Here is a 15,899-nt window from a genome sequence, read left to right as displayed (position 1 = left end):
ATATTCTACTATTCGTATATACCATAATTGAACTACTTAGCCTTTGATGGATTTTTAGGATGTTTCTAATTTTTGTTTGTCAGAAACCATATTGAAAGGAACATTAAGGATTAAAGAAAATTCTAAAGTCATATATATTCATTATAGAAATATGAGCAAGCAAGGAAAATAAGCTAAAAACATATAAACATTCCCCCCAAGGTTAACTGCTCTATGCAGTTTTTCACATGGTGTTCCAGTTTGTCTTACACTTTTTTTTTTTTTTTTTTTTAAATATGGCTGGCTTTTGTCACCCAGGCTAAGCTGGAGTGCAGTGGTGTGATCTTGGCTCACTGCAACCTCCACCTCCTGGGCTCAGGTGATCCTCCCACCTCAGCCTCCCGAGTAGCTGGGAATACAGGCACACATCACGATGCCCGCCTAATGTTTTTGTTTTTTGTAGAGACAGGGTTTTGCTATTTTGCCCAGGCTGGTCCTCTATATATTTTTTTTTAATAGGAAAAAAGCACTTGAGAAAGGACGATATCATAAATGAAGTTTTGTAATAGAAAGTTTATAGTATACTGTGAACATCTTTTTATCTAACAATAGTGAATATTTACTAAGTGCTTAACACATGACAGGGACTATTTTCATGTTTTACCCTACTCATGGCAATCATTTGAGGTATGTGGTTATTATGGCAGATGAGATTTGTGTGTTTTTAAATCTACACAAATAGTTTTGTGCTCTAGCACTTAGTATTTCTCACTTTCTAAATTCAGCGCTATGTTCTTATGATTAATCCATCTATCTACCTTGTTAGACATTTGCTGTCACCATGGGTTTCCTTATCTCTTCTTGCAACTCCCAGTTTCCACACACAGCGTTGCAGGGAACATCTGTGAACATGCACTCATGGATCTGTGGGTCGAGTCACTGGGAGACACATCCAACAGGATGAATGGATCATGGGATATTTATGTACTTAATATGACTAAATATTGGCAGAGGCAGATTCTCCTCCATAATGGCTATCCTGGAGTCTATACTCTTCTGCTTTATCTTTTTTGTGGTTTCAAGGATGTATGTATAAATGGCTAGGAAAAAGGACCAGAAAGAGATATACCAAACCAGTAACACTGGGAACATTTACAAGGAACCCAGGAGGGAGAGGATGATCGGAGGACCCTTAGGCTGTACTGGTCATGATATGATGTGTTGTAAGGACAGTGTCTTCACGTGTAACTTACTATTATAATTTACTGTTTACAAAAAAGGTCTGAAATGTGACCTTTACCTGAAGTTTACAGGGCTATGCTATGAACACATTTCAAGTTGTGAATGCCTGGTTTAAGGTTAGTCATGGAGCATGGAATGAGTTCTTCTTTGCAACTTAGTGCTCTTTGAGGCATGCTCTAAACAGTTATCAGGTTATACCAGTGAGCCCTTTTCAGACATTTAACTGAGGTTTTTCACATCTCACATGGCTCAGAGAGGTTGAGTAATTTTCCCAGGAGCACAGGGTCAGGAGAGTTGGCCAAGGCAATGTGGAGAGGTGGGTCAGAACAGACAACTTCATGAATGAAGGCTTGTTCAGGAGGGCTTATTGGTCTGTACTTAAGGTTAGGGAGGAAGTCGGTGCTCTTTCCCTGCAGGTGAGATGGGGAGGAAACATTCTCAAGAACAGTAAGTTTCAGTAGCTTCCTTACGCAAACACTCCACTGAACGAATATATTCGTCTGGTCTGTTTGTTAAGCACAAGGTATTCAGATAATCTTTGCCTGACAAGCTGCTTTTGTTTCTGTAAAAGGAAGGTAACAGGAAGGTCTTCAATTTACGACTCAAGCTTTCTTCTTTCACCTCTTCTAAAGTGAGAGAAACAAAGGTTCTGGATGACTGGATGAGATATTTTTTAAAGGTGCCATTCAGGTTCCTTTTGGGTATTAGTTTCAACTGAGATGTCTCATTCTTTCTGTGGAACTAAAACGAATAATGATCAGTAAGTCATTTTTGAAAGTAACTGTGACAGAGTGGGGCAGTTAACCACCACCTCTCCATTCCCAGCAGCTGGTATGCACACCCTGATTATGGTATAGACTTAGTTAATAAGAGAACCAGTGAGTGTTTGTGTCAGAATTTTGCTTTCAGAACCAGGCATAGGAATTTATACATGAACGCCCTGTGCAGAAAGAGGAGGTGTTTGCACACAGCTACACTGACAGATTATTTTCCACTCTTGCACAGTGACTAGTACAGATTCCTCTCATGAGCTCCTCAGAGACGTAAGACAGGGCGTTGATGATGCTTTATCAAGTAGACAGTATGTTTGCTACCCACAACTAAGTAAAATTAAAATATAAGAATAAATTGGAAGGCAGATGCAGATATAAAGTCCCATCTTTAAGGCAGGAATACTTCCTATCATCAAATATTACCCAGAACTCACTGGTTTAGAGGTTGAAGGCACAAAGCATGGTTGAGAAGGCTGAACTCCTGGCCTGTCTCTTCACAGGGTTGGTGAACTCTGGTAAACTCTAGAACAGAAATGACCCTTATAAACAGGTGCACATATGTGGTGAGTACCTGATGAATGTGTGCTGACCAATAAATAATTACTACTACTTCCTCTTGACTCATGTGTTTGAAATGAAGAACAGTCACTCTAGTTGCAGTCTATACTTGTGTGGAGCAGGGAAGTTGAGCAATACATCCATATTTAGTAACACTCTTGAGATGAGATAGATGGGGTGGGAGAGATAACAGTCATTCTTTGCCTTTTGGGTGGATCTAAGTTAAAATATTTTTATTGTCTAGATTTATAGCTAATTAATAATTTTTTTTGCCCTAGAATATTGAGGGTGCAAGATTTTAAAGTTGGATTTAGAGGAACTGAAGTTTCAGTTTGTTCATTGTGATTACGTAAATAGAGAAAACGGACTAATACGTTATACTTTCTCTTTTTAACCATATAATGACTACTCACCATTGAAATTTTGATGAGCATTTTTTTTGCCTTATTTCAGAGAAAGACAAGTGAAATTATAATTAAGTTGTATATTATTTTGTGTAGATTGTCTCTTCTCTAGTGTTCCTGCTGAAAACAAAGAGGAGATTAAAGATTTTCCTGTTCAGATTTTAAATCCGTTATTCAAAGTTTGAGGCTGGGCGCAGTGGCTCACGTCTGTAATTTCAGCACTTAGGGAGGCTGAGGTGAGAGGATCATTTGAGGTCGGGGGTTTGAGACCAGCCTGGCTGACATGGCAAAACCACATCTGTACTAAAAATATAAAAATTAGCCGGGTGTGGTGGCAGGTGCCTGTGGTCCCAGTTCCTAGGGAGGCTGAGGCAGGAGAATCGCTTGAACCCAGGAGGCGGAGGTTGCAGGGAGCTAAGATCATGCCACTGCACTCCTGCCTGGACGACAGAGCAAGACTTCGTCTCAAAACAAAACAAAACAACAAAGTTTGATAGTTTGCTTAACTAATGGGAGTAGGTGTCTTGATGTGTGTGCAGCTTGTATGATCCAGTAACTGATAATGAAGTTTGCAACATCTCTAAGTTAGAAATTTTAATGAAACCACAACATATTTTCTTTCATAGCAATTCTCTGAGCCAGCATTTCAAGAAGGGGTGGGAAAAAAATGGTGATAAATGACCTTTGAGGTGAACTTTTGATATTTGCATTGCAATTCTTTGGGTTTACACTTTTAATTTTTAAAATTGCAGGTGATATTTGTGAAAAGTGTCAGTTTCCAATATGTTCACAGTAGTGATAGTATGACTCAAAAGAAGTAAGCACATATATGCCTATTTTATCAATGGATGTCTTCAGAGTTGGTGTGCCATTTTTGCAGCATGGGTGAGAATTGAGGTTTTTCTAATTACATGAGTTTCTTTCTTCCTTCCTTCCTTCCTTCCTTCCTTCCTTCCTTCCTTCCTTCCTTCCTTTCTTTCCTTTCTTTCCTATTTTTTTTTTTTTTTTGAGATAGAGTCTCACTTTGTCACCCAAGCTGGAATGTAATGGTGATCTTGGCTCATTGCAACCTCTGCCTCCCAGGCTCAAGCAATTCTCTTGCTTCAGCCTCCTGGATAGCTGGGATTATAGACGCCTGCCACCACGCCTGATTAGTTTTTGTATTTTTAATAGAGACTGGGTTTCACCATGTTGGCCAGGCTGGTCTCGAACTCCTGACCTTAAGTGATCTGCCTGCCTCGGCCTCCCAAACTGTTGGGATTACAGGCGTGAGCCTCCGCACCCAGCCTAATTACATTAGTTTCTTTCTTTTCGTTTGTTTCTGAGACAGAGTTTTGCTCTTGTCGCCCCAGGCTGGAGTGCAGTGGTGCGATCTCGGCTCACTCCAACCTCTGCCTCCTGGGTTCAAGTGATTCTTCTGCCCCAGCCAACCGAGTAAGTAGCTGGGATTACGGGCATGTGCCACCGTGCCCGGCTAATTTTGTATTTTTAGTAGAGATGGGGTTTCTCCATGTTGGTCAGGCTAGTCTCAAACTCCTGACCTCAGGGGATCTGCCCACCTCCGCCTCCCAAAGTGCTGGGATTACAGGCGTGAGCCACCGCGCCAGGCCTTACATTAGTTTCTTATAGTAAGAGAAAGGTTTCAAAGTTATATATATCTAAGAATACACCTACCTTCATAGTTGAGCTTTTTTCCCCAAAATACATGTTTTTCTGGTGGTCTCTGTATTTTCCATCACTTTAAAAAAATCTAACTTATTAAAAGTTATTTGATTTTGCTTAAGACTTTCATCATCATCAGTAAAAATTTATGAGACTGCTTCTGTGCATTTGCTTCCTACGGGCCTAGGGGTGCAAAGGAAAGGGGTAGAATCTAAGATTCTAGGGTTAACCAAAATCGAAGGTTTGTAGGCTTCTCTGAATTTAGGTGGAAGAAGGTGGAGAATGTGATTCTGGGTGGTATTGTGCTATCCTTGGGATAGCCACTAAGCTTGTTCTACCAGTCAGGCTGGGCTGAGCTATGGTATGGTAGCAAACAACCCCACATCACAGGAGATTAGCACAACACAAGTGTATTTCTTGCTCTTGCACTTCCCTGTGACTGTGGGAGATATCTTAAGTCAGCTGTCCTTCCTGCAGCAACTCAGTCAGCTTCAGTCTTGTGGCTCCATCCTCTGTTATCTCTAGCAGCAGGAGGGGAAGAGTCATGGGAGCACTGCTCAGGGGCTTCCCCGCCTCAGTGATGGAGAGGTGCTCATCATTGCTCACATTTCACTGGCCAGAACAAGTCACGTGGTCCTGCCTATTTCAGGGTAGTGCAGTGCTTTTGTGCTCAAGAAGGAGACATTTGTAAGCCCTAGTAATGTCTATCACACGTGTCTAAATGAGAATTGGAATCTTGGAGAAGACATTGGAACTAGAGATGAGAATGTGAAAGATGTTATGTACAGAAAAGAAAATGGTGGAGTGGATTCATAAGGGAAAGCACATAATTACGGAGGGTACAGTTTTCCATAATGGTGTCTCTGCATGTATCTTTATTCACAACCCAAGCAATATGCTACCCTGGACTAAAAATATAAGGATAGTCGTAGCCACTGTCAGAAAAGTCAGAAAGTTTCTGTTGGTTCTGTTGTTGATTTGTGTGCTATGTGGACATTGTCTGCCTCCAAAAGTGTACTTTCACTTGATCATTTTAGGGTTATATAGTCCAATAGGTTAGCAGATCCTTAAATCTTGTTGGTGACAGGTTGTATTGGCCAGAGCTTAGGTGATAAGCTGGTGAAAATGCCTAATTTTAAATCTCAATGGGATTAGGAGAGAGTTTATATATCTTCTTATACATATTAAACATTATGAGGACACTTTCTATTACGTTTTTTCTCAGGAGTGTTCATTACATGACCTTGACATTGGAATGTATGACCATATTTCTGCTCCTATCCCCAGAACATCTCCGGAGAAGGAGCCTGCTGAGTCAAATAATGAGCCAGTTTCTGTGGGTTTTACTGCCTTGGTTCTTCCTCTCTGATCTTGCCTTTCCCACTACTGTTCTTCCTTCTCAGCTATTCTTCCAGTTTACTCTTCCCTCCACTTTTGCTTATTAAGGTGTGGACTTTGGGAGTAGACCGACCTCAGTTGGGATCTCATTCCTGTGATTAGCTCTTTGACGTTGGAAAAATCACTGTCCAAACCTCACTGTCCTTATCTGTAACACGAGGCTAAATACTTGTAATTTATGCAAAAACAACAGACACGGTACCTGGTATGTTTTTATTGCTCAGTAAATTTTAGTTAACCATTAGCATCATTGTCATGTTCATTTCAAGGCTCATCTCAAATAATTTTTTCATGATAGCTTTAAAATTTTTTTTGTATTTCACCAAGGCTGTGGATATGATTTACTCCATGGAACTCAGAAATCACTTTATATCTCCTCTGACATTTCGTATTCTTTGTGTGTGAATATACTTGAGTACATCCCATAGGGCAGTGGATATCCTTTCTTCATTGCTGTATCTTCTGCATTGCCTTCATTTAGGTGGTGCAAATAATATGTACTCAAAGTTGAATTGAGTCAAAATGAGACATAAGGGTGGAGGCCTATCGTATATTTATAAAGCAGTCCACCTGGTTGAGTGAATTCTCATAAGCTGGAAATATAACTACCCTCGGAATAGTATTCAGTTACTTCCCTCGTTAGGGTGTGTGTATGTTTCTCAGTGTTTATGTAATTGAAACTGTAATGCAACAACAAAAAAGGAGAATTAAAGAAATAATAAAAATAATGCAAATGTTATAAAAGACAGTCACTATCATAGGGTAGCAGTTTACCAGAACTCAGAGGAGACCTTAGTGTGATCTTGGTCATTTATACTGCTGAAAAGGTAGCTTTCATATCTTTATGCTCAGCTGCTTGCAAGGTTCACAACTTTAGGATTGGTTCTGCATGTGTAAAGCTATGCCTGATAAGGCAAAAGAGGGGTATAAATGAATCTCACCTGAAATTGGAGTCTTGTACAGTGAATGGGTTTACCTGGAGTTGTGTTCATATTGTGAACCCAGCTTGTTTTAATGGAGGTTTCCATTAGTCTTCCTGCCTGTGTTCTCAGGGTATTATAAGAAGCATGAAGATGTGTGTGAGCTTTCTCTTCCTTAATCACTTGAAATTGATCACTGTCTTTGAATACCGGACCCGTAAAAATACCCTTTTAAGAAGTCCTTATTTTTTCATTTCTTTAATTCTCTGCCAGAAGTGAGTGGAATATTGGGTGTCTGTTTTCTAGATCCATAACACCATAAAATGTTAAAGGATGTACTATGCTGAGAAAAGTACTCCCATTTTATATTTAGGGATTATGTGATCTGCCCAAAGTCACACAGGGAATCAAGAGTCTAGATCTCAGCCGGGCGTGGTGGCTCATGCCTGTAATCCCAGCACTTTGGGAGGCCGAGGCAGGCAGATCACCTGAGCTCGGGAGTTGGAACCAGCCTGGCCAACATGGCAAAACCCCGTCTCTAATAAAAATAACGAAAATTAGCTGGGTGTGGTGGCGGACGCTTGTAATCCCAATGACTTGGGAGGCTGAGGCAGGAGAATCACTTGAATCCAGGAGGCGCAGGTTGCGGTGAGCTGAGATCGCGCCATTGCACTCCAGCCTGGGCAACAAGAAAGAAACCCCGTCTCAAAAAAAAAAAAAAAGAAAGAAAAGAAAAAGAGTCTGGATCTTGTTTCTGCTGCAACACTTGACTCATCAGGTGTTTTTCTGTGCTTGTGCTAGAAAGGTAGGAATTGTACTGTATGCACTGGATGTGGATAGATATGCCAGCTGTGGGCCTATGTGGAGGCAAAAGGAGGCCCTCATGAGGACATTGCTGTCAGCGATTGTGGTAACTACAGAGAATATGCTATGCTTTGGTGGTAGACCAGATGAATATTATAGGACTAGTAGAGTTATATGAATTGGGGGCTTTGATTTGAAAATCTGTTTAAAGGGAACTGATTGCTAAAACACATTTCGTTGTTTTTCTTGCCTTAATTGCCAAGATAAGGGATTATAGGATTGTGTTCTACTGAGACACTTTTTCAAAAATTTGCCACTAAGGGAGTTGAATTCATATACAAAAAATTCGTTATAATGTATTATAATTGATATAATTTTCTTTATTTTTAAATTATTTTTTATTTTGTTGAGACAGGGTCTTGCCATCTTGCCCAGGTTGGAGTGTACCATCATGGCTTACTGCAGCCTTGAACTCCTGGGCTCAAGCTATTCTCCCACCTTAGCCTCCCGAGTACTTGAGACTACAGAGACGTGCCACCACACCCGGCTAATTTTATTTTATTTTTTGTAGAGTTGAGGTCTTGCTATACTGACCAGGCTGGTCTTGAACTCCTGGCCTCAAGCAATCCCCGTCCCTCCCCACCTTCCTCAGCCTCCCAAAGTGTTGGGATTATAGGCATGAGCCACTGTGCCAGCCCATATATAAAATAATTTTCCATAGCAAGTAATTTAGATTTGGCTTCAGAAATTTTATTTTTTTAAGATTTAATATTATAAAGTAATTTTTTAGTTGCAATTCAATATATGCTCATTGAAGAAAAATTGGAAAATACAGAAAAGGACAAAGAAGAAAGTAAAAGTCACTCATAGTGGTATCTTCAAAAGATAACCACACTTAATATTTTGGTGTTTCCTGTATACTCACAAATTTGCAATTAAGTTGTACATAATGTTTTATAACTGGTTTTAATTTAATATATTATTCATTTTCTCATTCTAAAATGAATGCAGTGTTATTTAAAAATTGCTTTCAACATTTTCATTAAAAATTTTCAAACATGCAGCAAAGTTAAAATTGGTACTGAATACCCATCTCTCCATCACCTATATTCTACCATTAATATTTACCATACTTGCTTTATCACTTACCTGTTCATCTCTCCACCCCCTCTATTCATCCATTGATCCATCTTGTTTGTTTTTCCGTACATTTCAAAGTAAATTTCAATGCAGTGTATTATGTTTAACCAAGCTGGTTTGCCTTCTTAATTGTTTTTGGTTTACACCAGTATACAAAGGAATTCGTATTCTCTGAGGATATACAACTGACAGCCCAGGGAACTTGCGGAGAGTATTTTGTTGGGTGTAGTGAAAAAGGACATCCAGGGATTTAAAATTTGCCTTGGAATAGAGTTAAATGTATGCATTATTAGCATTTGAGATAGCACAAAAGAACCATTAAAAACGATCATCTCCTTTTTACCTGCTGTTATGCCTAATTCAGACTCTAGCATGGGGACAAGGAAAATCTTTAGAGGGAAAGAAAAAGCTGCAGAAAGAAAATCATACTTTCTGTAGCTTTCCTCACTGCTAGAGACCTCAATGCTTGGTAGGTTGTGAACATGGATTGACTTGTTGGCAGGAAAAGCACTTCAGAATCGTTTCCTCCAGCCTACCAGTGGGACAGTTCAGTCCTAAATGTCCTGTGGATCCAGGTCTTGCCTTCCCTGGGCAGGGGTTGAGGGACTGTTGGTCTCGTCTGTAACTTGACTCTTGTTTCTGATGTGGCTAGATTTCCCGCCAGTTTACCGGGTCTTCCTATGTGAATGACAGATTCTTTCCTTTGTATTGGCAATGGTTGGTGGAGGATGGGGAGTGAGGTGGTGGGATAACCTTGGTGGGCTGAGGAAACCCGTGCTTGTATCTCTCTACCACCTCCTTTTAAAGGTGCCTTAAGGTGCCTGTCCCACGGGGTGCGGCAAGGTAGGGTGACCTCGCTTTATGTGCAGTTCCCAGCATAGCACCTTGTGTATTTAGGCATTTAGTAAATGTCCCTTGACAAGTAGACTGTCCCTGTTAAACCCTCAGAATCCCTGTAGTTGTTCTACTTTGCCAGCTAGCACCTGGTGCCTTTCACAAACATTTCAAGAACACATATCCATTCTTCAAACCTTATAATCTTAACTGTGTTTTCAAGTGGCTGGAGGCCCTTAAGATAGAGGAGCCTCTGTGTTTTTCCCCCTTTCTTTTCCCATGTTTCACATTCCAGGGTGTTCAGTCTCAGTATCACGTCAACACCATTTTAAGTGATAAGACGACTCAGCTCTGGCTGGGTGCGGTGGCTCACGCCTGTAATCCCAGCACTTCGGGAGGCCGAGGTGGGTGGATCACCTGAGGTCAAGAGTTCAAGACCAGCCTGACCAGTATGGTGAAACCCCGTCTCTACTAAAAATACAAAAAATTAGTGGGGCACGGTGGCTGGCTCCTGTAGTCCCAGCTACTTGGGAGGCTGAGACAGGAGAATTGCTTGAACCCAGGAGGCGGAGGTTGCAGAGAGCCGAGATTGTACCACTGTACTCCAGCCTGGGTGACAGAGCGAGACTCCGTCTCAAAAAAAACAAGACTCATCTCTGACGCTGGTGACAACTCTGACATGTTCTTTCTCGTAAACTCTACCTTGGATAAAGCACCTTCCTAGGAGTGGGTGTCTGTGGAGCCCCAACTTTATATGACCAAGGCAAAATGATCCTGTTTTTTTTTTCTTTTGTCTTCATCTTTTCTTTTTTTTCTTTTCCTGAGGGCAGTTGATTCTTGGACATTTTAGGCAGATTATTTTGTTTTTGGATAATCCATGTTCTTCCATGTTTCCTTCAGGCAGTTTTAGTTCTCCATGACTGAGCTAGCCAGGACCTTAATGGGTCGAAAGGATGTCTGGTTCTTCCTTTACCCCACTCCCCTTTCTCTTTCTTCTTTCAGGCAGAACCCCTCTAACTCTTAGAGCTGTGGTCCTCAGCTGAGGGAGATTTTTTCCTCTCTTCCCTGAGCCTCTGAAACAGTTTCCAGTGTCTGGAGACATTTTTGGTTACTGCGCCTGGGGAGATGTGGGGAAATGCTACGGCCGGGGATGCTCTAAACATCTTCAGGACACAGGACAGTACCTCACAACGAAGAATTATCCTGCTCAAAATGTCCGTATTGCCAAGGTGGAGAAACGCTGTTCTACTGATAGAGGTGCTCTGTTGAAAGTCTTCCTGTCAATAGCATTCTGTAACCTCCATGGCAGCATTGCACTCATCAGTATATCTGACTTGAGTCCTGCATGCTTCCGTTTGTTGCTCTTAAGGGCAAATGGAAATGCACACTTACCATACTCTGCATATGATCATACTCTCCCAGCTTCGTCTCAGTTCACTTTTAAAATTTATTGTTTTACAGCCTCTTTACTCTCTTTTTTTTTTTAATCTCTCTAGATGTTTCCCAGATTCTTCACATATTATGTTTCTGAAGTTGTAGTGATCCAATCCAGGCACAGCATTCTAGCAGTTTGGTCGCTGCTGCAAATGAGGGAAGTCGTTATCTTTGGGCTGGGGTTGGACAGAGCATCATGACCAACCATCTGTAAATGACCACTTGGAAAGCAAGAAGCAGTTATGTCTCCTGCTTGTTAGAGGGAGTCATGTGGAAGTAAAACTTTTTCATGTCAGAGAGACCTGGAAACAAATCTTTCTTCTGCCACTTAAGAAAAGTGTGACTTTGGGCCTTAGTTTTCTCAGACATAAAATGGGGTTAAAATACTTCATAGGGTTGTCAGGAGTATAAAGTGAATGTGTCTGTACTAACAATAAGTAGCACGTGTAAGAAGGGACTTTGTGTTTTACTGTACTGTAGCCATGATTTCTGTTGGAGAAAATAGAACTCTGGGAAATATAAAAGTATAGTTTGAATTTGATGATGGTTTTTCAAATGTTACTGTGCAGAAGAGTTCCTGGGAGCTTGTTATACTTGTATGTCCTCAGGTTGCATCCCTAGACATTCTGTTTAGGAAGTTTGGCTGAGTCTGGGAATTTGTCTTTGTCACAGTAACCCAGTTGGTTCTGATGCAGGTGGTCCACAGATAACACTTGGAGAAATCCTGGCCTTATGGCAACCAGGTGAGCATGTAGCGGGGGCGGGGGGCCCAAACTTCTCAGGAAGCCCCAGCTCTGGCTCGTTGTTTTCTGTTTCTCTGGGCTCACTGACAGAGAATAATCTTTCAGAGCTCTTTCAAGCAGGACAAAGCTGTTCTTTGTTCTTGCTTTTAATGACAACTAGAGATATCTTTTTATTGGATTGTCTCCTTCAACATTATTTTGACTCAGTGTCCTAAGAAGTCTTTTGGGAACCAGCTTAGGAACTCAGGGTAGAGAAATCTCCTTGTTCATTGGCTGAGGGAATTGTGACTTGGGGTGAGGAAGGGCAGATTAGAAGGGGGGTGGTTTTGATTCTCAGTGGGTCTTGGAAGGGTTTGGGAACCAGAAGTGAAACATGGACAGGATCCCTCCTAGCTCTAAACTGAATTCCTTTAGGAATGGGATGAAAAATGGCCGCATTCCTTCTACTCGTAAATTATTTGTGTCTAGTTTATCTCTTCTTTCATTGAATTATGCCTGGCAATCTATAATATTGACTGCTTTGTGATTTTAAGGAGTTTCTTTTTGCAGCTGTGGTTTGAGGGGTGTGAGGCCGGCTCACTGACCCATGATGGCCAGAGCTTGCTAGCTCCTGAAATGAATGTTTGTAATTTCCTGACATAGGGACAAAATAAATGGCCCAGGCCTGCCCATAAATATGCATCAGTGCTTCTCTATGCTGGGTCTGCGTGTGTTCTCAGAGGTCTTTTTCTGTGGGACATGCTCTACCCACACCTTTCTGCCAGACACAGTGTCTCACTGCCAGCTATGGTTTGGCCTCTGCAGCGTGGGCTGCGAATTTAAATATTTAAAAAGAAAATCTCGGAAGGAATGTCCCATCATATACTTAATAAATGAAAGTGTGAGGCAGAAATTAAAAGTCCACTGGGGAGTGTAGTTGGAAAATGTAAACCATATGAGATGTGCCTTTAAGTTTGAACTCCTTGTTGGCAATTTTCTGCCATGAGAACTTCCTTTAAAGTCCTGTCGGTTGAATTTAATGAGTTCTAAGCTGTGAATGTAAACCTTAGATGAAAAATGTGAACCCAAGAGCTAGGTTGTTCTGGGTTGCTGATTTTTCCACCCCTGCATTTAAGATGTCTGTCAAATAAGTCTTAATGTACCTGAGTTAATAATAGGAGAGTGTTCTGTCTGATGATGATGGGCCCCTGAGCCCATTGGCAGGTGGACATTTCTGTGGATTTCATAAAAATAAAACTAAAGACCATATAATTCTTTATAAACTGAAACAAAAATAAAAGGTAAACATGTAATGGTTAAATGGTAGTGAAAAATGAGAACGTGTTTAACAGAATAGATTTTTAAGTTCCCATTTTATTTTATTTTATTTTATTTTATTTTATTTTTATGTTTTGAGACAGAGTCTTGCTCTGTTTTCCGGGCTGGAGTACAGTGGTATGATCTTGGCTCACTGCAACCTCTGCCTCCTGGGTTCAAATGATTCTGGTGCCTCAGCCTCCCAAGTAGCTGGGGTTACAGGCGCATGCCACCACACCTGGCTAATTTTTTATTTTTTTTTTGTATTTTTAGTAGAGATGGGGTTTCACCATGCTGGGCAGGCTGGTCTTGAACTCCTGGTTTCAAGCAATCCACCTGCCTCAGCCTCCCAAAGTGCCGGGATTACAGTTGTGAGTCACCATGCCCAGCTTAAGTTTCAATTTTAACTGGTGGTTTCCTTGGAATATGCTTCTTTTAGGGTTGAGAGTGAAGTAAGATAGTAGTTTGGCATGTATGTGTCTTGTAAGTTTAACATGTGCTGATCCCTAAGGCTAATTTCATGGCATTTAATATTTCCATGGATGTTTTTGTCTAATCACTTGTAGCCTTTCCCACTTCTCATGTGTTTTGATGTATAGGTTTTGATGCATAGATTTTAAAAGTTCATGAAAATGTTACTTTAATGTTCAAGAGAGAGATGAAGGTGAATGGAAAACGGAACATTATTTTGTTGGCCCTATTTGGTCGTTCTGGTTGTTGCTGGAGAATGTGAGAGATTGTGATTCAGGTCAGATACTATCTTGAAATCAAATATGAGTTCCAGATACTCTTATAGCCCAGATATTTCCAAGGCTTTGCTGACAGCTTAATTATTTCAAGCAATATTTGATATGGCTGAAGACCTGTTGTCCAAAGAATTTGGATGTCCTTTTGGGCTCTTTTTTCAATGTAAGCCTTGCCAAAAGATGTGAAAATCTGCATGATATAAATGTTAAAATATGGCCAGGCACGGTGGCTCACGCCTGTAATCCCAGCACTTTGGGAGGCCGAGGTGGGCGGATCACAAGGTCAGGAGTTTGAGACCAGCCTGATCAACATGGTGAAACCCCATCTCTACTAAAAACACAAAAATTATCTGGGCATGGTGGCGTGTACCTGTAATCCCAGCTACTCGGCAGAATCGCTTGAACCTGGGAGGCAAAGGTTGCAGTGAGCCGAGATCGTGCCACTGCACTCCAGTCTCGGCAACAGAGCGAGACTCTGTCTAAAAAAAAAAAAAAAGTTAAAATGCAGGATTACCATTTCCTTTTACAAAGTAATTTATCATGGAATTCCTTGAAGTGGCACTTCTTCATTTGTGGCTGTGAAATACAATACAATTTTGCAAAACGGAACGATTTTCCCAGTTTTCCAGGATGGAGTCCAGTTTCTCCTGTGATGGTGTCTGATCTGTAGATAGCCACTTCTTTTTCTTCTTCAGATGTTCTCCTAAAAGGTTGGGACTCACAAGTTAAGGTTAGCAAATAAAAACAGGGAAGAGGTGACGTGCTGCTCCAGGGCTGTTTGAGAGTTTTCATAGAGAGGCTGCTGCTGGCTTTCTTTTGAAGCTGAGAGCAAACCTCAGTGGTTTTAACTCATGTCCACCGAATGGTGTAACCCCCTAAGTATCAGGGTATAAGGAATATAGGATTTTTCTTTTAAACATTGCCTGAAGCCTGAAGTCCCTGAAGTTTCCCCCGCCCCCTGCTACTTTTAGCATTGCCCAAAATATGATGCCATAGCAAAGAATCTGGAGACATCAGGGAAACTAGCAATTGCATAAGCATATGAAACTTTTTTAGATGTGCATTGAGGAGTTAGCAAGCCTTAAATGAAAGACACCTTTAGAATACAGTATAGTAATCTCTCTCCCTGTAACATTTATCTGTATGTTATAGATACAGTTCTAAATTTACTCAAACATGTTTAAATATAGTAAACTGTTTTAATGTAAAACTATCCTTAAAACATTCAGAGAGTTGTCTCTTGAAGTGTTTCATCTGTGAACTCTTGCCAATAGCACTTAGCCACCTAGTGAACGCTGAGTCTTCGGTGAAGTTACAGTGCCAGTGAGTGCGATGTGCTAAGTCCGTATTTGATTTGCCAGTGAGGACAAATGCACACACTCTGGTTTAGATCAGATTCAGATGATTTCCTACTGTGCTTTGTGAGTCATTCTAGTATCATCGGTAAATAATTCCTAAATGAAATCTATGTATTTCTTTTTTACTTACTTGGTTTGGGAAGTCATTGACAGGTGAATGATTTTATAAGCAATGTAATGAGTTGCCAAATACAGCAACTTTTCAAGACACTTGAAGCTTACAAACTTGACATTGTTTTAGCTTTAATTTACACCAAAGTTGGGTTATCCCTTTGAAATTATTACACGACACTGAGATAAAGGAGAATTCAAGTGCTCAGTCTTAGGGCTAAAGGCAATAGTTTATGGTTCAATAACATGTTGGGATGTTGTACCACAATTAATGTAATTATTAATAGGTTTTAGAAACATGAAAAGTGTTTGGGATCTAATTCTCAGTGACAATAGCAGAATTGAAAGTCATAATTATTGTGGCTATAAATGTGAGTACATTCATGTGCGTGTGTGTGTGAGTAAAGATTGCAATGGAATATGCATCATGAAAATAGTTGTGTTTGGGCAATGGGATTTCTAATACACTTTTTGTCATTGTTGTTTAGTATGGTTTT

General features: G+C 40.7%; 1 protein-coding gene and 1 long non-coding RNA gene across 8 annotated transcripts in view, besides 1 other annotated feature; one reads left to right on the top strand and one right to left on the bottom strand.

Moving 5' to 3' along the window:
- Positions 1–15,899, top strand: part of STK39 (serine/threonine kinase 39) — a 293,574-nt gene that overhangs the window by 33,635 nt on the left and 244,040 nt on the right. The gene's annotated exons all lie outside the window — the stretch shown is intronic.
- Positions 538–2,511, bottom strand: LOC124906088 (uncharacterized). The gene is made up of 2 exons (XR_007087283.1): positions 2,429–2,511; positions 538–1,962 (listed from the first exon to the last, which is right to left on the bottom strand). It is a non-coding gene; the product is annotated as an uncharacterized LOC124906088 (long non-coding RNA).
- Positions 1,942–3,141: an enhancer, noted in NCBI's record as "P300/CBP strongly-dependent group 1 enhancer chr2:169067330-169068529 (GRCh37/hg19 assembly coordinates)". NCBI's record gives its function as "activates an origin of replication core promoter dependent on BRD2, BRD4, P300/CBP, MED14 and CDK7 cofactors, with strong dependence on P300/CBP, by STARR-seq in HCT116 cells {active_cell/tissue: HCT116}" and the evidence as "EXISTENCE:reporter gene assay evidence [ECO:0000049][PMID:35650434]".

Source organism: Homo sapiens, chromosome 2 (assembly GCF_000001405.40).
Source record: "Homo sapiens chromosome 2, GRCh38.p14 Primary Assembly".
Lineage (NCBI taxonomy): Eukaryota > Metazoa > Chordata > Mammalia > Primates > Hominidae > Homo > Homo sapiens.
Note: the sequence above shows the minus strand (reverse complement) of the source record. Positions and strands in the feature narration are given on the sequence as shown.